Below are 25,305 nucleotides of genomic sequence, written 5' to 3'. Positions count from 1 at the left end.
GTGTCCACAGAGTGAAAGTCGACTTGGGGAAAAAAGTGAGTGTAGTATTGGTTGTCATTAACAGGAAACAGAATGCAGACAGGGAGGATCAAATCTGCATGGATTGGATCACCCCTGGATTATTGTACTTGGCTTTCAAAGTTACACTGCCACAAGGACCAACAGTGTGGACAGGAAACTAACCAAATTGGCACATGGGGAGAAACTTAGAAAACCAGAGGTGGTTAGCTTATAGAGACAAAAACATTCTGGGAGGAATATTGTTGCTGTCTTGCTGTCTTTCACTATCCAAAGGGGTATCGAAAGAAAAAAGACATAGATTTGGCTTGGAGTACTAAGGGCAGAATCCAGATCAATGGGAATTAGTTTGATAGAGACATATTTCAGTGATAGAAAGCAAAAGGTATTTTGAGGGGGTTCATAGCAAGGGAAGGGGCAGCAAAGGGAAGTGGTAAGCTCCCCATCTGATAAACTGTACCAAGTGGTACAAGTGCACCACTTGGCAGGGACAGTAAGGAGGGGATTCGAGCAGCGGAAGATGGCTTCAAAAATCTCTTTCAAATTTGAAATGTCTAGGTTCCTATGATAAATAGGTGCAGAGTCAAGAAAAACAAATTCTGGCCAAAAAGAATTGTAGAATGCACTTACCTATCTACCACAATACAAGAAAACACCACCAAAACCAGGTCTACAAATTAAGCAGCAGAAAGACCAGCTGAGAGATATCTTGTGCACCTGAAGGCATTCTAGAAATAGTAAGAACAGCTCCCTGGCTTTTCACTCTGTGTGTGATCATTCAGTATATGGGACTCCCAACTATTTTGACTATTCAAAGATGCCCCAGATTCTAAGACAGGACAGCCGACATTATTGCCTCAGGGCCAAGGCGGTCTTGGGTTTCATTTCTGAAACTCTACTACTTCCTAACTGTAGGAGCTTGGGCAAAGAAATTAACCCCTCCAAACCTCAGCCACGTTATCTGTAAAAGTAATTTCACTTATAAATGGAGGGGTGGAGGTAGCAATTGAAACCAGAATGGCACAATGTGATAATTATTGAAACTCAGTGATAGACACATAGATATTCACCATATTATTATTCTATGTGTTTGAAAATTTGCATAATAAAAAGTAAAAAGAGATGGAAAGTTTAAAAGAGTACCTACCTCATGCAATAATTGTAGAGCTTAAAGAAATGATCACATCTGAATTGCAAGGAATTTTTACAAATCTGAATTATTACCATAAATGTTTAAATATCCCATTTAATCATTCCAACAACCCTACAAAATGTATAGTATTAATCTCCATTTGGCAGATGAGGAAACCAAAGTTTAGATAAATTAAAGAGTAACAAATTCTTCAAATGGCATGGGGCTGAAATGGAATCTGAAACCAGAGTTATCTGACTCCACCAGCACACCGCCTTTATTTTAAGAATAGCTCATTGTGTTCTATTTGGTTGACAATTAGGATGTCGTTTATTCGTCTAAGTCATTGGTTTCCTATCTCTTTTCTCAATAGCAGAAACATGTTTTTCAAATTCAGCCCTACTCAGAACTCTAGTAAGTAAAACTGATAAAAGCTAAACAGCTCTGGCTGAAATGGATTTTGGGGCCCAGCAACCAGCCCACTTGACTCCACAGTGACCCCTGAAGCACCTTGAGGTATATGGAGCATAGTGTGAACCCCAGATTGAAGCCAACAACAACAAAAACAACAACAACAACAACAAATCCCAACCTGAAGAAGTACATGTTAAGAGCAGCCTGATTTGTATAATGCATCTTTCATTTCCCTGTCTCCCATCACATTGGATCCTCATTATCAACTCTGAGGTAGACAAGGCAGCACATATCACCCTCAATTTGCAAATGAGGAAGTAAAGGCCAAATGGAGTTAAGCAGCTGGCCAAAGGTGCACCAGTTCAATTTTCAGCCAAGTGCAGACTGGAAGTCGAGTCTGTCTCCATTAACTCTGTGTGACCTGGCAAAGAGGATGCCATCTACTGGAAATTGCTACTGACCCTTGGTCCACAAAGTGGACAATCAGCTTCTTGGCCATTGAGAGCAGAGCACAGCCCCATGGGCCCTCCTGCCAAGGCCCTGTCCCAGAGCAGATGGCAATGAGCAGGGGAGAAGGGCTCAGTGCCACTGAAGGGCCTGACAGCAGGATTTTAGCTGTAGATGGGCCATTCCTGTCTGAGCCTTGTCATGCTGAGCACAGGGCAGGGAGGCAGGACTAGCCAAAGTGCCTTCCACCTTCATCTGCAGTAAGTAAATGAGCCCACAGAGGGACAGCAGGTAGTGTAGAGCTGGGTGTCATTTACACTTTGCTTTTCTTCTTAGCTCTTGCTTAGGCATCCCTGAAACCCGAGGCAGCTGATAAATGCCTGAATGGCTCCCCAACTCCAGAGCATCTCTGAACTGAGCTGTAGCATGTGTTGGAGCAGGCAACACTTAATTATCGGTTAGTCTTTAATTAGCTCTTAATTATTAACACTTAATCCATCTGTAAAATGGGGACACTAATACCTGCCTCACAGGGACTCTGGGAACATTAATTAAGTTTACAGTCCACTTTGAAGATGCAAAACGTGAAATAAGTAAGTGCTCAACGGCGGTATTAATAACCACAGCAGATTTACTTTCTTTTCCTAATTTCCCTTTTTCCTCTCTGCTCCTTCCTTTCCTTTCGAATATCCATCCTCAACAATATCTGCCCAACTTTGCCCTGATGGAGAAACACTTAGCTCTGTGTTTCCCAGACACAGGATTTCCCATCCCGGAAACGGGCTATTTACAGCCATCTTCCCGCACTTTAATTTTCTATTATGTCCTCTGAATATGTCAGTGCCTTCCCAGTAAATATTTTGATGTGTGCTCTTGCAGCAGCTTCTGTGGAGGCTGAATGGGACAGCTGCTCCCTGTATTAGGGAATTCCAGATGTGATTTAAAACCATCAGACTCATCCATGTGAATGCCTAGCCTTTAGGTGGGAGAGGGGAAGGATCTTCTAGTTGCTTCTGGGGAAAGCCACAAGCCATATAACCCTTAGCCTTAGCTAGGGTGGTTTTTCAAGGACCTCAGATTCACATGCGTTTAGGATGAGAAATGTCTGCTTAACGGGCTGGTGAAGAGGCAGCCTGGAATATAGCCCTAATCTGACTCTTCACCCACAAAACTTCAGAACTTTGGTCAGCTCTTCTATAAAGCTTGGACAAAGGACCATGGAGGGGGCAATATACAGCCTTTAGGGTTTCACCAGCCTCAACAGTGGGCCAGAACATTCCCCCAGAAGGTCAGACTTCATCTCCTCCCTCCTCCCTTGCTGCCAATGGAGTAGGGGGGTACTTACTCTTCTTGAAAGCTGAGCTCATTGCCTCTTAGAGTTCCAACCACAGGGACAGAGAGCTGCTCCATGGAGGTCCAGGGCTGTGAGGCCTCAGGCAGGCCTTGAACTCTCTTCCAGATTTCATGGCAAGTCTTGTCTAGGCTGTCTTGGGGTGTGTCCTGGTGGATCCAGATGTATCTGGGGAATGGGCCCAGGGCGCAGGGGCCCTTGGCCACCAGGGCCGAGGATGAAGGAAGCCCATTCCCGCTGGCCATCCTCCTCCTCTCTTTCTGGAAGCCCCTCTGTCCACCCAGGGCTAGAACACAACCACCACCACCCCTCATTCACCAGAAAGGGAGATGAGGATGGGGCTTGGCAGAAGTGGGTCAGTTCTGTCTGGCTTTCGCTCCAGCAAGGTGGTTAGGTTCAGAGGCCTTCTATTTGTGTGGGAGGGGTGGGTGGAGGACAGCTTTCTTTTGGGGAGGGGAGGGCTTATTTTGATTTGTTTTTATTTGCTCTTTCCTGACTTTTGCCTCCCTCCCCCTCTCCCTTAGAAGAAAATATTTAAAAGTCAACAAAAACCAGTAGCTTAGGAACAGTGGAATGCTGCGGAGCTCAGGAACCAGGCGCCTGGGCGGGCAGAATGACATCTGGGAACAGCTGGAAGGGGAGGGCTGGCTCTCCCCACAGTCCCTGGCACTGCCCCCTTGCGACGCCGCCGTGACAACTTTCGGCGCCTGGGCTCAGCCCATGCTGTCCCGCTAAGCCACGCGGAGGACTGGGTGCGGGCCTGGCACCATTGTAGGCACTCGGGGGGCGGGGCCCCGCAGGAGGCGCTCGCCTGGGCGTTCCCAGGGAGCCCCTCGCAGAGCGAGCGTCAACGGCCCGACTCCCACCCCCGGCCCAGGTCCTGCTTTTCTCTCGCCCTACCCCTCCTGCTCCCGGTCTCCCGCTGCTGCTCTGCTGCCCCCGGAAAGAAGGGATGAGGCGTGTGTGGATGGGCCCACAGCCCTTAGTCCCCGGCCCCCAGCAGACCCCTGCCCCAGCCGCGCCGCGCTGCCAGGCGGGCACCGGGAAGGGCCCAGCGGCTCAAGAGCGCGCTGACTCGGCAAGGCAGGCTGGGCCGGGCGGCTCCCACCAATTTGCCTGCCAGTAGCTCCCACACCCTCGCCGTCGTCGAGCGGGGGAATTCTTTCTGTGGGTTTCAAACGCAACGGCTCGGTGCGCGGGGCGCCCTGGGTTCGGAGCCCAAGACCCGCCGGTGGGGTGGGTGGGGGTGGGGCCCAAAGGACCCCAGAGCGCTTCGGGGGATCAGAAGTCAAAGCCAAACGCGCCGCCGCCCCACTTCGCCGCTCCACACAAATCTCAGCTCCTGCCTGGGGGTCCCCCGGCAACCTCGATTTTAATCCTAACTGCCATTTTATGGGGCGCTTGCCCTGTGCCAAGCGCTGGGCTCACATTCAATCCTATTAAAGCTCGTGAAATTAGTACCACTTTTTATTATCGTTCTACACGGGAGGAAAGCGAATCTCAAAGTCATAAGGGATTGCGTCCAAGGCCCCCTGAGAAAAGGGAAGCTGAGACTCAGACCCCAGCACTCTAGGCCTGATCTAGCCCTTGACCACTGAGACAGCTTCAGTAGGTGGGTAGGAGCAGGAGTAGGAGGTCCGAGGTGCAGGGAGAAGGGCTAAGTTAGCTGTTTGCTGATCAACAGGCCCCTACCCTCACTGAAGCGGCTTCATTCAATTGGGCACTGACACAGTACCTCTGCTGAGGGAGACTTTCTGGTTCCGAGAGTCAGGGGGTTGCTTCTCTAGCAATTCCCCTGAAAAGGAAAAGCAAGAGGGTGGAGACGGAAGAAAGAAGAATGGACACAAATAGAGGAAGATGGCAGTCTATAAATGCAGGGCTGGGTTGAATCCTGACACTCATTTCCGAGCTGTGTGACCTTAAGAACTTTCTGAACTTCTCCCATCCCCATTCATAATTCCCCCAGTACTGATGCAACCCCTCCTCTGTGCCCGATGAGTTGCTGGGCACTGAAGAAGCATAAGGGTGGGCAAAAATGGCATGGTCCCTGCTCTCCTGGAGCCTGTATACTAGCGAGGAGAGATCGATGCAAACCAGCCAAGCGAGTAAAGCAGCAATAATTACAGATGCAATGGGACTCTGATGGAAAATAACTATTAGGTTGGTGCAAAAGTAATTGCGGTTTTTGCCATCACTTGCAATGGCAAAAACCACAATTACTTTTGTACCAACCTAGTAACAAAGTGAGGCACTGGGGAGAAGAGGGGAGGCAATATTCCATGGTGGTCCAGGCCGACTTCTTTGAGGAGAAAAATTTGAGAAGGATGAGAGGAATTCCTTTTCTGTAAAATGGTGTTAATAAATTATGAGGATCATGTTTCTGGCACATAGTAGGCACTCAAAAAATATGTGTTGGATGAATTAATGGTATACTGTATGTAAAGTGCCTGGTATACAGTAGGTGCCCAATACGCAACCTTGCTCTTTACAGAGGGGCTGAGTTCCTGGAAATGTTTACTCTAAATTTTGAAATCTGAGCTTCATTCTCCTTTGATTTTCATTACAAAATTGAAGATGTGTTCCTTTGGGGAAAATTCTGAGGGCCTAGACTGAATAAAATTATAGTTAAGAATGTAGAAAACCTTTTAAAATAGTGTATTTAAAGGAAAAGTGATCATTTCTGATGAAATATTAATAGTTCTGAAAATGTCACTCAGTGTTTGTGCTGCTTGGCATTTGGTTGGCTAACACCTTAAGCTTAGAGCAGAACGCCAACGACCCTGCACTGCCCAGGCCCCAGGATTCTGGAAGTTAGCCAGCTCACTCACTCTTCCTGTTCCCTCTCCCCCTCAGCAGGAGACCAGGCAACGGGGGCTAAATCAGAAAGGACTGCAAAAAAAAAAAAAAAAAAAATCAAATACAGCAGGGATACGGAACAAAGATAGAGCATGTTTTTAGAGTGCACAGACGAGATTTCTAGAAAATTCTGCAAAAATCTTAAGTGATGTACTTAGAAATAGTATAAAGCTATGTCCATATGGTAGCCACTAGCCACATGGGGTTGTTTTAATTTTAACTTTATTTTTATATAAATTAAATGAAAAATTCAGCTCCTCATTTGCATTAGCCACATATTATGTGCTCAGTAGCCACATATGGCTAGTGGCTACCATATTGGACAGCACAGAGAACATTTCTTATCATTAAATACATATTCTCGGGAACCAGAGTCCCTGGGTTCAGATTCTGAGTTCACGTTTTCTGGCAATGTAAGCTTAGGCAAGTTACTCTGTGCCTTGGTGTATTAGTTTGGTAGGGCTACCATAACGAAGTCCACAGACTGTGTGGCTTAAACAACAGAATTTTATTTCCTTGCCATTCTAGAGGTTAGAAGGCCAAGACCAAGATGTTGGCATTGTTAGTTTCACTCTGAAGTCTCTCTCGCTGGCTTGCACTTGGCTGTGTTCTCCCTATGTCCTCACATGGTCTTCCCTGTATATGTGTCCCTGTCCTAATCACTCCTTTAAAGGACACCAGTCATATTAGATTAGGACACACCCTAATGGCTTTTTTCTTTTTTTTAATCTTAGCTACCTCTTTAAAGGACTCATCTCCAAATACAGTCACATCTGAGGTATTTGGTTTAGGATTGCAGCATATAATTCAGCCCACAACATTTGATTTCTTAGTCTGTAAAATGGGATGATAATGAAGAATACTTGCTTTGTAGAATTACTACAGATGTTCTATTACTAACCAATTGCTTAACACATGGAAAGTCCCTTGAACAACAACTGACAGATAAACGTGTTATACAGTTGTTTGCTTGTTGATTACACTGAAATGCATGCCTTTGGAGTTTCTGAATAGCAGCTTTTGTGTTTTGTGTAGAGAGGGAGAATTGTGTTGTACTGGGGAAGTTGTTCTGTGATGGAGAAACGAATTCACATAATCACTTACGCCTTTCCAGGCTTTGTTCATTTTTGAGCATCCATCATGGGTCAAAATTGTGAAAGACACAGGGATTAGAGATGATGAAAAAGATGTCTACCCTAGACAGAATCACCTAGTGACAGAGGCGGGGCAAAGCATTCCATAAGTGCCTGGTGCAGAGCAGTGTGATATAAACTGACTTATTCCAGTTTCCATCCAACATGGAGTTATGTTCCTCCAACACATGTATCTATGCCCAGCACTGTTTGAGGTGCTGAAGATAGAGTAGTGAAGAAGAGGAGTTTGGTCTCTGTCTTTTTTAGAGTTTAAAGTGAAGCATTTAATGGTCATGGACACCATTTAATCTGTAAATTATTTTTAGCTTGGAAAACTTCTTGAATTCCCCCTGACTACTTACATTACCCTGGGCAGGTTGGTTTAACCTCAATGTCTCCATTTGCTCATCTATGAAACAGAGACAATAAAATACTGACCTCATAGACTTGTTTTACGATAATGAAATAATACATGTAAAGTGCTTATAATAGCTTGGCTAATGTATGTATCCAGTGAATGTTGGCTATCATTATTTAGAATTCTGGGATTCTTAGCTTTTCTCTGTGGAACCAGGAAGGCCTAAGGAGGAGGCAATTCTCCTTACCTCCCATCCAGTCAAAGCCTCTTCTCATCTGGCTTTCATCTCTGACACAAACATGGCTAGGCTGGAAAACTCAGAAACGTGGGAATGGCCTAGGCTCTTTTACAATCATCATATAGCCCCTAAGGCTGCTTACTCTTGTAGGTCCTTTTAGGTTCCTCATCTAACATATTTTAAACACACCCACCTCTCACCATAAAAATAACTTTTTGGCTATAGAGGAAAATTGAAAGGATTTTTGCCATTTTGCTTTTGAAAGTTTTTGGCCATGAGTAATTTATTTAATTTGTGATGGGCTGTGATTTCTCACCAATCTTAGTGCCTACTCGAGAAATCTTGTGCAGTGAGAAAACTCCAACCTACAAATTGTTACCAAATGCAATGAAATTTTTATGACTACTAAATCCAACAGTTAATGAAGTTGACATAATGTTATACTCTGCATTTAATTAAATATTTACTGATTTCCATGTGGCAGTTTTCTTCTTTGTATTGTGGGACTAATCATAAAATATTTAGGACTCAAACGCTTTTGTAGGTCCCTAAAACCCAGAGGGACCCCCATTCCCATGCGAATAATGCTCAATGGGTCAAACTGCCCAGAGGCAGGATCCATGCATAGGAGTATCCCAGGCAAATATCTTGGGGAATTAACCATCACAGCTAAAGGAAGAGGAGGTTGCAGCCATGTTTCATGGGAATGGGCCTCCCCCTCATGTTGTCTCAGCAACAGGACAGGGCTGCAGAGCAGCCAGCCATTTCTAGGACTTTGAAAAGGAACCTTGAATATTCTGCAAGCAAAGCTGTGACTCTGTGGCTTCTCTCTCCTGGCAACACCATCGGTGATCTCTGCCATTTCTTGGGGGTTTTTCCCTTACTATTGCCTTGTTCCTTGCCCACATGAGAGGAGGCAGTTAAGAGCTCGGGTGGTGGCAGCTGACACACTTGAATTGGAATTCCTACTCTACTACTTGATAAAGGTGGCTTTGTATATACTTAACTTCTCTGACATTTCTTCATCTGCAAAGTTGTAAAAACAATAGGTTTGGGGTAGGAAGAAGGTTTAAATATGGAAATGCACGTGAACTTCTCAACACAGTGCCTGGCTTATGGTAAACTCTCAATAAAAAGAAATGTGTAATTATGATTATCACTAGCTATTGTTATTGAGAGCCTAGCAATGTAAAAATGGCAGCCTATGAGATCTCCACTTAAAGTTAGGGAAAAGGAAGGTCCTAGATGACAGAATAAAAGAATATGGTGGTGGCAGTAGTGGTCCAGTGAGGTAGAAACAAAGTCAGAATTCAGCTGGCTTTCCTCCTGCTTTGGTTTTTCTGCCAGACCCCAGTAGTGATAGGTATGCCAAGGATTCCTGGCGAGGCCCTTTATGGGAAACCCTTCAGCTAGAAGCTTTATATTTTGCCCTTCCTTCCATAGCTTCCATGCCGGGACATTGGTCACTAAAATGCATTCACTTAAGACTTCTTCTACCTTACTGCTGAGATGATTTGAGGCAGCTTTCAGATTAAAAAGTACAAACTACAGCATCAAAGAATAAAGGAAGAACTGACTCTAAGGAAAACAGAAACAGTTGCTACTTTCCAGCACCCGAACTGGTCAGGCCTCATGGAGGTAATAAGGCAATAAAACTGGGTATCCTTATTTGTCAGCTAAAGCAAAAATGGAAACACGTCGGGTGGCAGAGTTTTTGTTTTCTGACAGCAGAAAATACACATCTTCATCTGCAGAGACAAAATGTTTCCAGGAAATAACCCCAAGCATGAATTTATCATGAGTCCTTGTATAAAGGACACTGAGTGACATAGTGGGCAATATATGCAATTCTGTTTTCATAAAAGACAGAGATGCTGTTAGGTTCGTCAGTTTCTCGCATCAGGGTTCTCTGAAGACAGCATAACATTAAATCATAACTCAGTGGAGGCATTTCTTTAAGGAACTCAAATAATGAAGTCTAGAAGAGATACCTTTGGGTCCATTCCACAAACAGTACTGAGCACCTACTTAACCATCCATTCATCCATCCATCCATCCATCTGTTTATCCATTCATCCAGCAAAAATTCCCTGAATGTTCACCATGTACCAGGCACTCTGAATGGCACTGACAAATACTGCTTGTAAGAACTGTCACCTGGACTGAATTTTGAAGGGCAAATAGGAGAAGGCTAGTCACAGAAGGAGAAGGGAAGCTTTCTAGGCAGAGAGAACAAAACACAGAAGGATCCAGGGGAAAGGGGAGAGAAAGCATGGCTCATTGCAAGAGTGCAAGGGTGTCAGAATGGCTTAGAGCTGAGGGATTTGGGAATAGGGAGATCTGAGGCTAGAGGGGCTGGCAGGGACAGATGATGGGGGCTCTTGTAGGGAGGGTCTAGCAGGGAGCTTGGATTTTACTCTGTAGGCCATAGGGGAAAGTCCGGGGAAGACAGAGGAGCTGTGAAATCAGGTGAGTGTTTTAAAAAGATAGCTGGTGGCAGAGAGGAAGATGCATTGAATAGGGCAAGAGCAGAGATGGGCACTTGTTACTCAGTTGTTGTAAGTAACCTGAAACATAGCCATTGTGGACTCTGGTTAGAATCTGGGAGGTGTCTAGGAGGCAGAATCTGGAGGGCTCAGTGATGGCTTGATGTGGGGACTGGGCAAGATGGGAGTCCAGGATAAATAGGTTTCTGGCTCAGGATCTGGGTGGATGTGGAAACTGTTCCCTGAATTGGGGAGCTGAGCAGAGAGGCAGGCTGGGGTGGAGAACTAGAAGTGGATAAGCCCAGGTCTGAGCAGGCTGTGGTGGAAGGGGTGGGGTGGGGCTCCTATGAGACATCTGAGGAGAGAGAATGCCAGATACAATACAGACCCTGGGACTTGGGAGAAAAGAGGTTTCCATCCTAGAGTTGCCCATCCACCAGCAGGGACAAATAAGAAAGCCAGCAATTATGGAGAGACTGTTGAGTCAGAAGAGAGGTCTATTTCCACCCCACACCCTTCCTTGGTACCCTGTGAGTGCTGCAGATTTACACACTGTGTCCTCCCTCCCTGAGCTGGCCCACTCTGTGCTTTCTTCCTAGAAAGTGCTGGTTCTCACCTGCCCTTTCCCATAGGCTGAGCTAGGAGCCCTTCTTATTTCCATCACATGCTATATCTCTTCTGGAGTAATCAATCATGCTTTGCTGTTTAACGCTGTTCTCAATAAACTCTCAACCCCCTGAGGACAGGGGCCATGGGAATGTCTTATTCTTCTTTATATTTGTTTCCTCAACACCTAGCACAGACTCTGACATGCAGCTCAGTGTGGCATGAACAAATGAATGAAAGAGTAAGTGAAGAGTAAGTGAATGACTACACAAGATACTATGCAAAAAATGAGCAAGCCTGCATAAAAGTATTGCTAGCTGCTGTAACAAACTCCAATATTTCAATGGCTTAACACCCTGTTTTGTCACTGGCATGAACTCTTTTTCCTTATACACAAATGAAGAATTTTCACCAAGAATGTCAGAATTTGGTGACCACAGCATGTGGTAGCACTAGAGGAATGGCCTAGGCTGTGGGCCCCTTCTCACTTCTCCCTCCTGGTTTCAGAAGCCCACAGCCTCACCTTGGTGTGGTCTGGGCTTTTTCCTCATGAAGCCCCTCTGTCGCCACTCCTTGGGCAGCAGATCACTGCCACCTCTATGGTGATAGCCTCGCCCTTGGGAGATACTCGCTTTGGCCTGATCATGCTCATGATTTTAAAATTGTGCCCCATTTGGGATCCTAAGCTTTTCCTCTGAGCCCATCTTTGTCCTGTAGCCCTTCTCTGCAGCCCTGCCTGCCCCTTGGCCTCTATTTCTGCCCTCGCATTGCTAGAATCTCCCATTTGCTCACTCTCTCTCTCTCTCTCTCTCTCTCTCTCTCTCTCTCTCAGCTTCAGAAGGCTTTTTGATCTTTTCCTGGGTCAGAATGAAAATTTCAGGGCATCAAGTCTACAGCTCCTCCTTGAATGAGGCAGAGTTCTCCAGAGCATCAGGCCTTGTATTCTTTCTAAATCAAACTCTGATTTTATCTGGATATTAGGCTTATCTTGGCTAGTCACTAGACTGCATTGGGCTTTTTTGCAATGTGATATTGTAAAGACACCTCAACCCACGACTGCCTGTTGCTCACAGGGAGAATGAGAGGGGCAGGCAGGGAGCCAGCACTTGGGGCTGGGCTGAGACCCACACTCTCCTAGGCTAGATGCGGGTAGGCTGTTATGTCTTTGACTCCTGCCTCTCCATTGCCCTGCAGATGTTTCCAGGGTCCCCATCTCTGCCTTTGCCCCCATGTTTCCTGGCTCAGACTATTGCAGTAGTCTTCTAAGTGGTACCCTTTCCTTTCTTACCCTTTCCTCACAGAGAAGTTAGAGTATATGTCAGGCCACATCACTTGGCGTCTCTTTCCCAGAAATGAAAACCTACCTTTCATATTCAGAGCTGTCTACTTTTCACTAAAGGAGCCATGCTATACACAGAAAATAAATGTAAACAGATATCTCTTTACATATATTTTCTGACTGTCAAGCATCTCTCTCCTCCCTCCATCTGAAAAGTCATCTCCTCCTGTTATAGAATGAATTGTGTGCCCCCCCACCCAAATTCATAGGTTGAAGTCCGAACCCCTAGTACTTCAGGATGTGACCTTATTTGGAGGTAGAGTCTTTAAAAAGTCAGTTAAGTCAAAATGAGGTCATTGGGTTGGGCCTTAATCCAGTATGACTGGTGTCCTGATTAGAAGTTTGGACACAGATATGTACCATGGGAACACATGTGAGGACACAGGGAGAAGAAGGCAGCCATCTACAAGCCAGAGAGAGAAGCCTCAGAGGGAACCAACTGTGTCGACCTCTTGATCTTGGACTTCCAGCCTCCAGAATTGTGAGGCAATACATTTCTGTTTTTTAAGCCACAGGGTCTATGGTACTTTGTTGTGGCAGCAGTCCTAGCAAATTAATACACCTTCTATTTCTCACTGGCTAAGAATAAAATGCAAACTCCTCGCCATCCCCTAATAGACCCTATGTGATCTGCCCCACTCCCTATCTCCCATTGCTTACCTGGATCCAGCCCCATCCTCCTCCTCCTGGCCCCCTTTCCTTTTTACAGCCTTGCCTGTGCTCACTATACCAAAAGCTCTTTCCCCAACTTTGCATGGCTGCCTTGCTTAATTCTATTATTATATTAATTAATTAATTAATTAATTCATAGACAGATAGTCTGGCTCTGTCACCCAGGCTGGAGTGCAGTGGTGTGATCATGGCTCACTGCAGCCTTGAACAGCTGGGCTCAAATGATCCTCTGGCTTTAGCCTCCTGAGCATCTTGCTTAATTTTAGATCCCATCTTCCACCGTTGCCATCTCAGAGAGGCCTTCTCAGACCATCTCCTTAAAGCACATCCCCATATTGTTTCTCCTAGCACCATAAACTTTCCTTTTGTAGCATCCTTAATTAGTAACTTTATGTGTATTTGTATACATATTTTCTGCCTTCATCAAGTCAGGGACTGTGCACTAGGTGTATATTCATTGTCTAGCACAGCACCCAGGCACATAATGATGCTCAATAAATATTTGTTGAGTAAATGAATCTTCATCTTTTCAAGGTCTTTATCCATGTCTCAGGTTCCAGACCAAATCCTACTTTCCTTCTTAAATTAGCCTTCTGATCCCCCAAGTCCAGGAAAAGCTCACTGTCTTGACATGCCTCTCGGTAGCATGCCGGTTCTTCAGTCATGGTGATTATCGCTGTCTGACGGTATCAGTTACGTGTGGGTTTCCACCTCTGGCCTGCATCCTCCCAAAGCAGGACCACACACTGTGCATCTCTGCAGGGCCCAGAGCACAGCCTCGCTCAGGGCCCCCGAGCACAGGAGGCGCTCAGTGAAAGCACGTGGACCCAAATAGATCAGAGAGCAGGAATGGCGGAGGATGTGAGTAACTGGGCCTTTTGCAGGGATAAAATAGGTGCCCTGCCCTCCACAGCCCCCAGGGAGAAGGATGACAAACGCTCCTTTTGCCCGGGAAAGTTCTGGGGGTAAATCTCATCTGCCCGTTGCAGCCACAGAGCAAAGTTCTGGAGCTGAGAAGAGGGTAAGAGAAAGCCCATTGGCCTGCAGCCCCAGAATTACAGAGCAGCCCAGACTCTCTTCTGCCCAGCTGTGGGCTGCACAGGAGGCCTGGGCATCTCTGCCAGTTCCTTTCTCTGGAGGAGAACCCCGCCTCCAAGAGAGGGGTAAAGTCGGAGCTTAGAAGCCAGGAGCCCACCCCCAGGCAAGCCCAGCTAACAGCCCCCAAGGCCACCACCACCACTCACTGCTGGCGTAGTCAGTCCCTTCCTCCTCTCCAGGGCTGGTGGGAAGGCTGAGCCCTCTCTTTCGGGGGCTGAGTCTGGACAATGGGAAGGGAGAAGCCCCCTCCTCACTGCCCCGGGAACATAAAGCAGGCCTTTCACTGAGGAGTTCTGGCTGCTTCGGTTGGTTCTTGGCACCCAGCAAGGCGGCGTCGGGAGGGGCGGGCATACAAGCGTGTTGGGGGTGGGGACCAGGCCCGCGATTCTGAGGAGATTCGCCCGCCCAGGGCCACCGGGCTGGCTCCCCAGCTGTGGGATGAGCTCATGCAGGGAAACCGGAACAACTTGGGGTGGGGGGAGGGAGGAAGAGTGGCATCTAGGAGGCTGCGAAAGCGTGGCTCTGGGGAGGAAGTTTTTCATGGGGAGTAGGGACAAGCCTCCACTCCTCCAGCCCTGCCCCCGCCCCCCAATTCATATCGTCAACTCCACAGCCCCTCTTCACACCCTTCCTTGGATGGAAATTCCTGGCCACGCTGACAGCCGGCCAACCTGGGTCGCCAGCCACCCCCAGCCTGGCTCGCCATCCCTACAGTCCCTCTCCACACCCTTCCCCGGAAATTCTCAGGCCCCACCGCCCGCCGGCCACTGCCCCCTTGGCCACACAGATGCCAACGCTCCGTTTTGGCCAAATCAGGCTGCCCTAAGCCCGGAGCACAGCTTCTCTGGGGTGTGTCGGCAAAGGGGGCGGGGGTGCCCATCGCAGGTGCCTTTCCACTGCACGCGCCAGCAGAAGCCTCCTCTCTGGACCTTGCCCCTCCCAGTTTCCTCCAGCCTCCCCCCATGAAGCGTCTCTTCCCTCTCGCCGAGAGTTTGGCGTAGACAGCGAAGGAGCCATCGTGACTGGCGGAGAAGCCTGGAGTAGACGAGACAGAGACGGCGACCGAGTCGGGTGGGGGATGGGGTGGGGACCGACACTAAGCCCTTGGGGCCTAGAGGCAGCCGCTACTGGGGAGAGGTGGGGAGCAGCTCACGTCCTTGGGAAGAACTCTCTTGGTTTGGGGCCTTGGCTGGGAGGAGGAAGGGGAGAAGAAGAAGTAGGATCCGATTATTTAAATTTGGGGATAAATTGTACTAGTAACTCTTGCACCGTCCTTCCACCAACCTCACTCCCCACCCCCAACTCGCGTGCACACAGGGACCGCCTCTGCCACCCTGAGATTTTTGTCTTAGGGTAGGAGTGGGACCGCACTGGGTCAAATGAACCGGTTCCCCCCCCTCCCCACCCCACACACAACCCCCCTCCACCGCCCTCCAATTCTTAACCCTGCCTCTGTCTACGCACACACGCCCCTCTCCTGGGATGGGGTAGGAGGCTATTGTGAATGAGGCTCATAAGCATCGCCCCCGGCCCTAGATGGCAAGTTCAAAGCCACCACCCAAGATCAGCTGGTAAGAGCCAAGACTTGGGGAACGCGTCCTTCTTTGGTTACCTTTTCCCAGACAGGATTCCAATTTCCAAACGTGGAAGAGGTGTGCGTGTATGTGCCTGTGTGTGTGAGTGCGTGTGTCTCTGTCACTGTGTGTGTGTGTGTGTGTTTGTGTGTGTGTGTGTGGAGAGGGGGGTGTATTAATGGGTGATGTTATAAATGAAAACAGGAGGACTGAACTTAAAAGAAACTGGTCAATTGCAAAACAGACACGGATAAACAACCCTTTAGATGTAATTTGTGGTTTATCTGGAGGTGGAGGTGGCGCTGAAGAGGAACCCCCGCCCCCCAATATTTTATCCTTAGCTGCGCCTCCACCCCCAGCATTTGGAGCGGCGGAGAAGCGGCTCCGGAGTGATTAATCCGGGGATAATTCACCCCCTCCCGCCCCCCGGCGCGAACCCCGCGAAGCGGGATTGGAGCGAGTCATTTCCGAGAGCGCAGCGCGCCTCTCCCCGGCCGGGCGGACACTTGGTTCATTCCAGCCGCAGAAGCTCAGGGCTCCCGCGTACCGGGATTTTTTCCGAGCAGAAAAAAGCTCCAGAGCTCTCCTGACCTCCTTTCTCCTCGGCGGCGAGCGGAGCCTCTCCCTCGGCGCTGCCGGCCGCGCCATGCCGCGCTCGCGGGGACGGGAGCTGGGGCGCTGCGGCTGCCCCGCGGGGAGGGCTCGCGGCGAAACCGGGATTTCGGCGCTTGTGCCGGGCGCCGGGAGCCGCTGGGGCCGCCCGCCGCCGCCAACGCCGCCGCCTCTGCTGCTGTTGCTGGGCTGTGGGTTGCTCAGCGTCTCGGCCGCCGCGGGTGAGTCCAGCCGCGCCGAGGAGCCAGCGGCCGCCGCGCGCCCCACCCGAGCCCCGAGCCCACCCATCCTCGACCCGGTCCCAGTCCCTCCCCCCGCCTCTATCCCTGCCTGAATCTCCCACCCTCCCAGTTGCCTACTCTCATTCTCATCCCTGCCTCCGTCTCCCACCCCACCCTCAGCCACGTCCTCACCTCCACCCTCACCCTCACTGCTGCCCCAACCCCAGCCGCAACTTGGACGGATGCGGCCGGTGTGGGGGCCTGGGAGACAGACATCCCCGCCCGGGGTTGCGGGGCACCTGGTCTGTGGCTTCAGTTTCTCCAGCCTCCCAGCCCCCACGGTGCTAGGCTTTTTCCCGATAAACTTTCCGGGAGCCCTACTCCCCCGGCTCCTGATTCTGCCAGGCACGCTGGTCCTGGGGGCTGGAGAGGAACCGTGCGCCCCCTCCCCATTTCTGCGTCTGCAAGGTCTGCCCTTCCCTGCCCCCGCCCATTTTCTCCAATTGAAACCGGTGCCCCCTCTGGAACCGACTGCAGACTGCGGCCGCCATCCCCCTCCTCAAATGCTACCCCTCCCTCGGCGCTCGGAGCTAGGAGGGGGTTCAGGTGGACGCGTGCCCACGGTGGGGGTCCCGCGCATTCCTTGCAGGAGGGTGCAGGTGGGGGCTGGAGGGTGTTGAGGGATGGGAAGGAGGGGGTGGGGGTTGTAGCCCGAGGCGGGGGAGGGAGTGCCGCCGCCAGGCTTCGCGCTGCCACATTCCCCTCGGTGCTCACTCCGCGCCAAAGTGCCCTTTCCCGCGCCCTGCTGCAGCCGAGCGCCTCGGCTGCGGCAGCGGCAGCGGCGGCGCGGGCGGCGGGACCAGCTCCCGACGACCGAGTCCGGGAAGGGGCAGATCTAGCGGGTGCGGAGAGTCCCGGAACTTCGCGGGTGTCTGGCTGCAGCTTGCAGCGCGCGGGGGAGGTACGCGAACCTTCGAGGGAACCCGGTCCCCTGTGGAGGCTACTGGCCGCGACTGGTGCCCTCCCGCTTTACCCACAGCACCCCTCCGAAGCTCAGTTCTAGCTACAAGCTAGAAAGTTCCGTGTGCCCGGGTGGAGACGGGTCCAAACCGGGATGCCTGGAACCGCATTTTCATTTAGCCCGCGAGGCTGACACCCACTGGGGGAGAAACCGAAACACCTGCTGGCCAGGCCTAGACCTAGGGCACCTTCGACCTGGAGCCGTGTTTTCTTTTTTGTTTTTGTTTTTGTTTTGTTTTGTTTTGTTTTGAAACCACCGATTGAACCTCTGAAGGCTTGGCCTGGACCACCCCAGTTCCCCTTCTTGGGAAAGTGCGCCTCTCCTCTGGCAGGTCAGTGAGTGGCGAGCTCTCTGGCCCACTCTGGCCTTCAGCGTCTTGTGAGTCTGTCCTCGCAGACCGTGTCGCCCACCGCTTAACCGCGGCATGTTGGGGTTCTTGGTCAGGGAGGGCGCCCCGAGCCAGCTCTGGCTCTCTCATTCCTAGCTGACGGGACTTTCTTAGGTTCTGCTAAGAGTCATAGCCACCGACACCCAGAGAGGGGCGCCCGCGGTGCGCGCGCCTGGGAGCTCTGGCCTCTCGCACACCCACACCCACTGGGAGGCTGTGCATACCGACGCTGCTGGTCACCCAGACTTGCCACATGGGCGGTGGGGGAATCGCTGCTACCTCCCGCCAGGCCTCCCGGACGTACGTTGAGGCGAGGCCGGTCTCTGGCTTAGCTGATTGGAGAATGTCTCGGCATCGGACTGAATTGTTTTTCTGGCTAGATTTGTCCCTGCCCCTTGGGCATATCCTGCCCCTAGGGGAGAGAAAAAGGCCGACTCACCGGCGCTTGCACCGCTCAGCGGTGCTGGAATCCTGCCCTATAGAGATCCATTTGCTCGCAGCTCCTTGCTCAGTAGAGAAGTTGCGGGGAGGGGGCCTTGTGTTCATGGCTTGGGGTAGTTCCTCTCCGGCAGGCCCTGCTCTGGCTTGCAAGCTTCCAGTACATTTCTTTTCTTTTCTTCTCTTTCTTTTTAAATTTTTTTTAAGACGGAGTTTTGCTCTTCTCGCCCAGGCTGGAGTGCAATGGCGCGGTCTCAGCTCACTGCAACCTCCGCCTCCTGGGTTCAAGCGATTCTCCTGCCTCAGTCTTCCGAGTAGCTGGGATTACAGGCGACCGTCACCACGCCCGGTTAATTTTTGTATTTTTAGGAGAGATGGGGTTTCACCATGTTGGCCAGGCTGGTCTCGAGCTCCTGACTTCAGGTGATCCGCCTGCCTCTGCCTCCCAAAGTGCTGGGCTTACAGATGTGAGCCACCGCGCCCAGCCCAGTACATTTCTTTTTAAGCCTTTCCCGCCTTTAGATGGGCTGTTTGGCCTTGCAGGCAGCAGAGATTTGGAAATGGACTTGGTGACAGAAGATCGGCAGGATTTGGTACATTAGAAGGGGAAACACATTCATTTTGTGTTCAGTTCACACTGTTGAATTTAAAAGATGCTCAGGACTGAACCGTCTCCCTTCCTCGGCTCAGTGATCACTGGATAAATGAATAAAATAGTTTGAAAAAGGGGAGTCTCCTCACCCACCCATACCTTCTCCCCTCAACCCCTTTAGTCCTTGTCCTGCCTTGCACTCCCCCTCCCCCTCCCCACCCCAGCCTCCCTGGAGACTTCCCACCAATTACCTGCTGTCCCTATCAATCATCCTCCCTTTTTTTTTTTTTTTTTTTTGAGAGGGAGTTTCACTCTTTTGTTGTCCAGGCTGGAGTGCAATGGCGCAATCTCGGCTTGCTGCAACCTCTGCCTCCCGGGTTCAAGTGATTCTCCTGCCTCAGCCTCCTGAGTAGCTGTGATTACAGGCGCATGCCACCATGCCCAGCTAATTTTGTATTTTTAATAGAGAAGGGGGGTTTCTCCATGTTGGTCAGGCTGGTCTCGAACTCCTGACCTCATGATCTGCCCACCTTGCCCTCCCAAAGTGCTGGGATTACAGGCGTGATCCACCGCACCTGGCCACCCTCCCTTCTTAAAACACATTTCCCTTTGACCTGTGAACAGGCTCATCTTTACCACAAAACAAGCCAAGAAGCCTTCTTGGCCCTATTGACCTATCTAAGCCACTGCCCCATCTCTTTTTGTCTTTTAGTCACTTCTCTTCAAAGGGGTCTTCATGTCAGTTTTCTCTACTACCCGTCACTCCTTACTTCAACCTCTGTCTCCAGGATGACACTGGAACACTCTAGAAGAGAGCACCAATGACCACCTCAATTGCCAAATACATTGTACTTTATCTTTATTTTCTTTTATCTCTCTGTGGCTGTGGCCACTTTGGATGAATTTCTCTTCCTTGGGCTTCTGGGACACTATGTTTTACTGATTTTTCTCCTATCTCTTGCGTGTTCCTTCTCAGTCTCTAATACTAACACTTATTCCCCTCCCTGAAGTATAGTGTCCTGCAGCATTTAATTCTTTGTACTTTTTCCCATTCCTTTTCACCACTCTCTGGGTGAGCTCATCCTTGCCCAACCCTTTCACTACCACACTCTGAAGCTTCCAGACAGATCTCTTCTGCCAAGACATCTCTCCTGAAATTCATCTATTGGCTTCCTGGTCCATGGGAATTCTGGGTCTAGGTAACCCATGTATCCAGCTGATCCTTGGACATCTTCACTTAGATATTTCCCTTCCAGAGCAATCTTATTAGCTTCTTTCTTAAGCCTCCCGTATTTCCTTTGTGAGCTGGTGGTTCCTGTAGCCTCCCAGTTATGGAGCCCAGAAACCTTTGGATTATCCTCAACTCCTTCCTTATCATATGGTCATCAAATTCTGTCAGTTTCATATCCTCAATTATTCTCGAACCTAGCTACTTTCCTTGAGGAGCTCTGAGCATTGAAAAAGCTATCATGCCTTCCACTCCCTTACTAACTAATTTTTAAAAAGCAATATTAAACTATAAGTAGATAGTTTAAGTAGATGGAATTCTGACAAAGTTCTGATTTTTCCCGTGCCAATTACATCATGGCTTTAAAAAAATCAAATGCCAAATTAAAAAAATTTCCCCTGCTTTGTATGTTGTCTGAGTGCTTGCTTTTAGTCAGCCTCTTGTAGACTAGAGCACTGACTGTACTCAATGTTCTACTGTAGTACAAACTGAATTGTATTAAAAAGCATTTATTTGTCTGCCTTATATATTAAAATGTGAGCTTACTGAAGGCAGGGATGGTGCTTTATTTCTCTTGGTATCCCCATATCCAGCTCAGGTTCTGGCATAGAATTGGTGCTTGATGTATGGCTGTTTGATCAGATGATTTTTACAGTTTTCTTTTTCTTGGAGAGTTTTCCAAGGACTGATAAGACTAAATCGGGGGTCAAGGAAGCCAGCTGGTTTGCAGAGGTAATAAGATGACAAAGACATCTGGTCCCCTGTTCCTTTCCCCACAACTAAGTATCACCGTTTGGTTACAGTTCCCTAGGTTCTAGAACCAATGCAACAATAAGCCCTTGGCATACCACTCTCCTCCAACCCTGAGCCAAGGAAAGGCGTTTCACTACTCAGTCACCAGTGTGTGTATGAATTTGAATTTCCATTTGCAATCAAGCTGAGGGTTTATGGTTTTTAAAAAATGAGCTGACTGCAGCGGAGAGTGCCCACCATATCTAGGGCTGGTGAGTGTGTGGCTTTGTTGAAGGTGAGATTAGAATCATGCACCAGGGACTGGAGGACCAAATTGCAGGGTCTTGGACACTGCCTGGTTTGGGTTTCTCCGGCAGAGCCCAGCAGGCAGCTTCAGCAGCACCCCCTTCACCCTCATTCATGTGCCTGACCTGCCTGTTTCACCCTCATCATCACGCCAGCAGGATTAAGGGAACCTGATTGCTCCGCAGAGCCTTGCTGGAGACCCAGCTGATCTTCAGGCCTCTCTAGGGCTCAGTCTCCCTGCTGTAAAAAGGACAAGTAATTCCTGAGTTTTTGGAAGGATTAGAAACCAGAGATGCAACGAGTCCAGTGCCATACCTCATCGAATGTGCCTATTAAATAGAAGCTGGGGCCAAAGGAATCAGCCAGGAAGTCTATGTGCCCTCACCATGTCCTTCCCCACCTACCATGCTCAGAGAGCTGTTCTGGACACCCAGGGGAGTTATAATAACAGCTCATATTCACTGAGTACTCACCGGCACTGTCTTAAGCACTTGGATGTATTAACTCAATCCTCTCAGCAACCCAGTGAAGCCTGCAGTATTATTATTCCCATTTCATAGATGAAGAAACAGGTTCAGAGAGGACACATAACTTATCCACGCACTAAGTAAATAGCCGAGCCACAGTTTGGATGCAGGCCTGGCTGACGCCATATCTTTTACTCATAACCTTGTTGCCATTCAACTTCTTGGGGACCCAGCTGGTACCACGTCCCTGGAAGCGTCTGCCCAGGCTGCCTTCTTTGGCCTTGCTCTTCCCACTGGGCTGTCCTCATCAGTTATACTGTGCTGCTTTTGAGGCCTGAATCCCACACTTCTAATCCTCAAGCAGCTATTGTCCATTCCTTTCCACCACAAGCTCCTGGGTGGGGGGGGGGCAGGCTGTAAAGTCATTCTTGGTTTCTAGCCCCAAACACCCATCTAGATGGAACTCTACTGTGGGTTCTTACAACTCCTCACATTTCCTTTGTTGTCAGAGTCATCAGGACATATTGGAATTTCTTGCTTAGTGAGGTGGTTATCTGTCTCATTTCCCTAAAGGACTGTGAACTGAGGCAGGGCAGTGTAGAGCACATAGTGGACACTCAGTAAGTGTGCTGATGAGACAGTCAGAGCTGATGAGACAATCAGAGGCAGGTTGTTTGGAGCCCAGGGCTCCCTTTCCTTTAGACCACCCTGTTGGGCATTCCCAAGGGCAGCTGGGGGCTGGGAAGACTGGAAACGGGTTAAGGGGCATCTTCAAGTAGGAGGCAGCCCCAGGCCCATCTGCACAATAATAATAGCTCTCCTTTACCGAGTGCTGGTTAAATGCTTTGTAGACATTACCATTTAATTATCACTGTAATATTGTATTTGAAGATACTGAGGCTCAGAAAGTAAGCAGCTGGGCCAAGGCTGTAGAGCAGGTAGGTAAAGAAGGCGGGATTAAACCTCAAGTCTACCTGACCCTAGGGCCCATCTTTTTGGAAAGCCCTTGTTACAGTGCTGGGCCCATTGTTACCATTCAATACATGTTAGATACTATTACTATTACTACAACTACGGTCTACTTGCTTTCAGCACCAGCCTCTTAGAAATATAAGAGAAACAATTCATACACTCTGCCACTCTCTGGCACCACTATACCCAGTGGGGGGAGTCTTTTCTCTTTGCTCCTCTGGCTGAAAGCACACACCTTAGAACCTGGTCCCCTCACTCAACCCATCAACCCAGCTCAGTGCCCTTCATCCAGGAGGGTAGGGAGGGAGAACCCTCTACCTCGAGAATGCACTGCATTGCCCTCCCTGGATTTATCTCCTTGGGTGGCATATGGCCTTGCACCCCTCCTCTCCATCTGCTGCAGTGTCGTGAGAGCTTCCCCAACAACAGGGGAACATCGGGGTGAACCTGCAAATAGAGGATTATTTCAGAGTCTTTATGCTTACAAAGACTCTGTCTCAGGGTTCACTCGCTTTGAGAAGGGCTTGGTTTTCCCTTGGACCCACAGAAAGCAAAGAGTGGGCTATGCAACGTGGGAGTTTCTCTACTTGAAAATGATGGCGTGGCTCTCAGAGCTCTTTTCTTACTCTTGTAAGTTAAGAGAAACAAAGGAAACTCATATTTATTTTTCCCCTGGACTCTAGAGAGCTCAATCTCCTGGACTGTCTTTTCATACTCCTCTTCTAAAAATGAGATTCTTTATCTTCTTTTCTTCTCTCCCACCCAAACACACACTTAGTTCTTAGAGCTTTGGGAGAAGGTGAGACCCCTTTGGCCTTCTCAGGTAGCTTAATGTCACATGAAAGATAGTCATGACCCACTATACATCCACAAATGTGAACTTTAGCCAAACAGCAGATGAGAGGGAAGGAGATGGAGTGGAACATGATGGGGTGGGATTGGAGAAACAGCCTAATTTGAGGTAGACTGAGCTCAAGTAGGAAGGTGTAAGTTGGGTAGGATCAAAGGTGGGTTGGGATGTGTTGGCACAGGATAGATAGAGTGAGACAGGTGATGGAATGGAATGGGATAGGATTGAGTGAGATGTGATGTCGGGGATGGGATCGAGAGGGTGGGGTGTGCAGTATTCAGGGGATTGACTGGGATGGGGGGTGAGGTGGGGAGGGAATGTGTTAGAAGACACTGGGGTGGGATGGGATAAGATGGGGTGGGTGGAGTTGGGGTCGAGTAGAATGGAACAATTGGGATATGATGGAGGGGAGGTGAGATGTATTGTGGTAGAATGGCATGAGATAGAGGTGAGTCAGATTTATTGGGATGGTTTGGGTTGGTTGAGTTGGAACAAGAGACTGGGAGATAAGATGGGGTTATTATATAACCAATTGAATAGGCACCAACTGAGTGGACATGAGGAAATGGGAAGTGAGGGAGGGCACTGGAAATACCTTGACCCGCCTCACATTGTTGTAGCATCTTCATCTTCCTGACCAGGACTTTGTGAACGTTGGTCAGTTTCTTTCTCACCTGAATTGTGAAATTTCCAGCAGACATAAAGTCTCCATTAGCCTTTGGTCCCATAAAGCATGAATCCTAAAATGCTGGAGGCTCCCTTTTCCTGCCATAAGGGATCATTCTTCAGGGAGACCCTGGGAGTCCCATGTGGCCACCACCAGGAAACCATCCGAAAAATATGCCTGGCACAAACCAGGAACCCCAGGGCAGCTCCTATCAAGTCCACCATCAGAGAAAGACATTGTGCCTACCCTAGAGCTAGCACAGTGGCTCCACTCACAGAAAGGAAAGCCGAGGATGGAGTAGGGGTTTACCTCCATGGCCCCCTCTGCTGGGCGAGTCTCTCTCCTAGAGACTCTCTTACTTTCCACCTGTTTGTGTTTGTATTGTTGGAAAATTTTAAACTGAATTTGTCTTTCAAGGGATGTCAGTCCCACCCTTGAAAAATCATTATTATAAGGAACTTTTATGATGCTAAAAATAATGTATGTATAGTTAAATTACTGAGAGCACCAAATTACTCTGAGAAATTTACTTGAGAATCTCCTGTGCCATCTAGAACAGAAAATAAGGGCTTATATTGCAACACAAATAGCCTTCCTACCTGCTAATGTCTAATTTATACCAATTAAGTGCAATTATAATCCATAAACCTCAAAAAATTATGTGTCCATCTTCAAGGTTTTCAAATAGAAAACAGAATAAGTTCTATTATTAAGTAGGTACATCTATTTATTGATTGAAAGTAAGTGAGTGTGACGGATGTAACTGTAAAGGGAAAAAGCAGAGACTTTGAAATTTGAGATACAAGTATATTATGAGAGAATGTGCAGACATTTTGTGCAGAATGATTGATGGCCCTTTCTGAGATGAGCAAGTGTGGTAGAGTCGACTCAGGCCTCGGGAGGTTTGTCTTCAGGTTGCTGCCTGACCCCAACCCTTTCCCTACCCCAGCCTCAATCTGTCTACCTACCAACCTTCATTGCTTCCTCCATTGCCATTTCAGGAATGGAGAGAGTTCAGTGATTGGGTGGGACTTGGTGATGGTGTGTGGACTTGGCAGTAAGAAAGAGATGACAGTTTAATGGTTTATT

The 25,305-nt window shown here is 48.9% G+C and overlaps 2 protein-coding genes across 14 annotated transcripts in view, besides 4 other annotated features; one reads left to right on the top strand and one right to left on the bottom strand.

The window, feature by feature from the left end:
• Positions 1-14,473, bottom strand: part of C1orf94 (chromosome 1 open reading frame 94) — a 52,139-nt gene extending 37,666 nt beyond the window's left edge. The window contains exon 1 of one of the 2 annotated variants that reach the window (NM_032884.5): positions 14,295-14,473. Coding sequence is in view for 1 of the 2 variants with exons in the window: in NM_001134734.2 (NP_001128206.1) it covers positions 3,357-3,676 (320 nt within the window). In the remaining variant the exon portion in view is untranslated. Of the gene's footprint in view, positions 1-3,356; positions 4,560-14,294 lie in introns of those variants that run through there. The other variant, NM_001134734.2, reaches the window with a different exon arrangement.
• Positions 1,749-2,249: an enhancer, noted in NCBI's record as "H3K27ac-H3K4me1 hESC enhancer chr1:34644818-34645318 (GRCh37/hg19 assembly coordinates)". NCBI's record gives its function as "activates a minimal SCP1, AML or CMV promoter by ChIP-STARR-seq in naive H9 embryonic stem cells {active_cell/tissue: H9 hESC(naive)}" and the evidence as "EXISTENCE:reporter gene assay evidence [ECO:0000049][PMID:30033119]".
• Positions 3,964-4,258: a silencer, noted in NCBI's record as "tiled region #230; HepG2 Repressive non-DNase unmatched - State 22:ReprW". NCBI's record gives its function as "represses a minimal TATA promoter and a strong SV40 promoter by Sharpr-MPRA in HepG2 cells {active_cell/tissue: HepG2}" and the evidence as "EXISTENCE:reporter gene assay evidence [ECO:0000049][PMID:27701403]".
• Positions 15,624-25,305, top strand: part of CSMD2 (CUB and Sushi multiple domains 2) — a 651,845-nt gene continuing 642,163 nt past the window's right edge. For 9 of the 12 annotated variants that reach the window (XM_047443666.1, XM_047443642.1, XM_047443607.1 and 6 more), the window contains exon 1: positions 16,236-16,555. In XM_047443666.1, coding sequence (XP_047299622.1) covers positions 16,369-16,555 — 187 coding nt within the window. In that variant the 5' untranslated portion in view covers positions 16,236-16,368. Of the gene's footprint in view, positions 15,720-16,235; positions 16,556-25,305 lie in introns of those variants that run through there. The other 3 variants (XM_047443685.1, XM_047443656.1, NM_052896.5) reach the window with 1 other exon arrangement.
• Positions 17,726-17,785: an enhancer, noted in NCBI's record as "active region_711". NCBI's record gives its function as "activates an Ori minimal core promoter by ATAC-STARR-seq in GM12878 lymphoblastoid cells {active_cell/tissue: GM12878}" and the evidence as "EXISTENCE:reporter gene assay evidence [ECO:0000049][PMID:35858748]".
• Positions 18,206-18,335: an enhancer, noted in NCBI's record as "active region_710". NCBI's record gives its function as "activates an Ori minimal core promoter by ATAC-STARR-seq in GM12878 lymphoblastoid cells {active_cell/tissue: GM12878}" and the evidence as "EXISTENCE:reporter gene assay evidence [ECO:0000049][PMID:35858748]".

Source organism: Homo sapiens, chromosome 1 (assembly GCF_000001405.40).
Source record: "Homo sapiens chromosome 1, GRCh38.p14 Primary Assembly".
In the NCBI taxonomy this organism is placed as follows: Eukaryota; Metazoa; Chordata; class Mammalia; order Primates; family Hominidae; genus Homo; species Homo sapiens.
The sequence above is the reverse complement of the archived record's forward strand: the minus strand, read 5'-3'. Positions and strand labels throughout refer to the sequence as shown.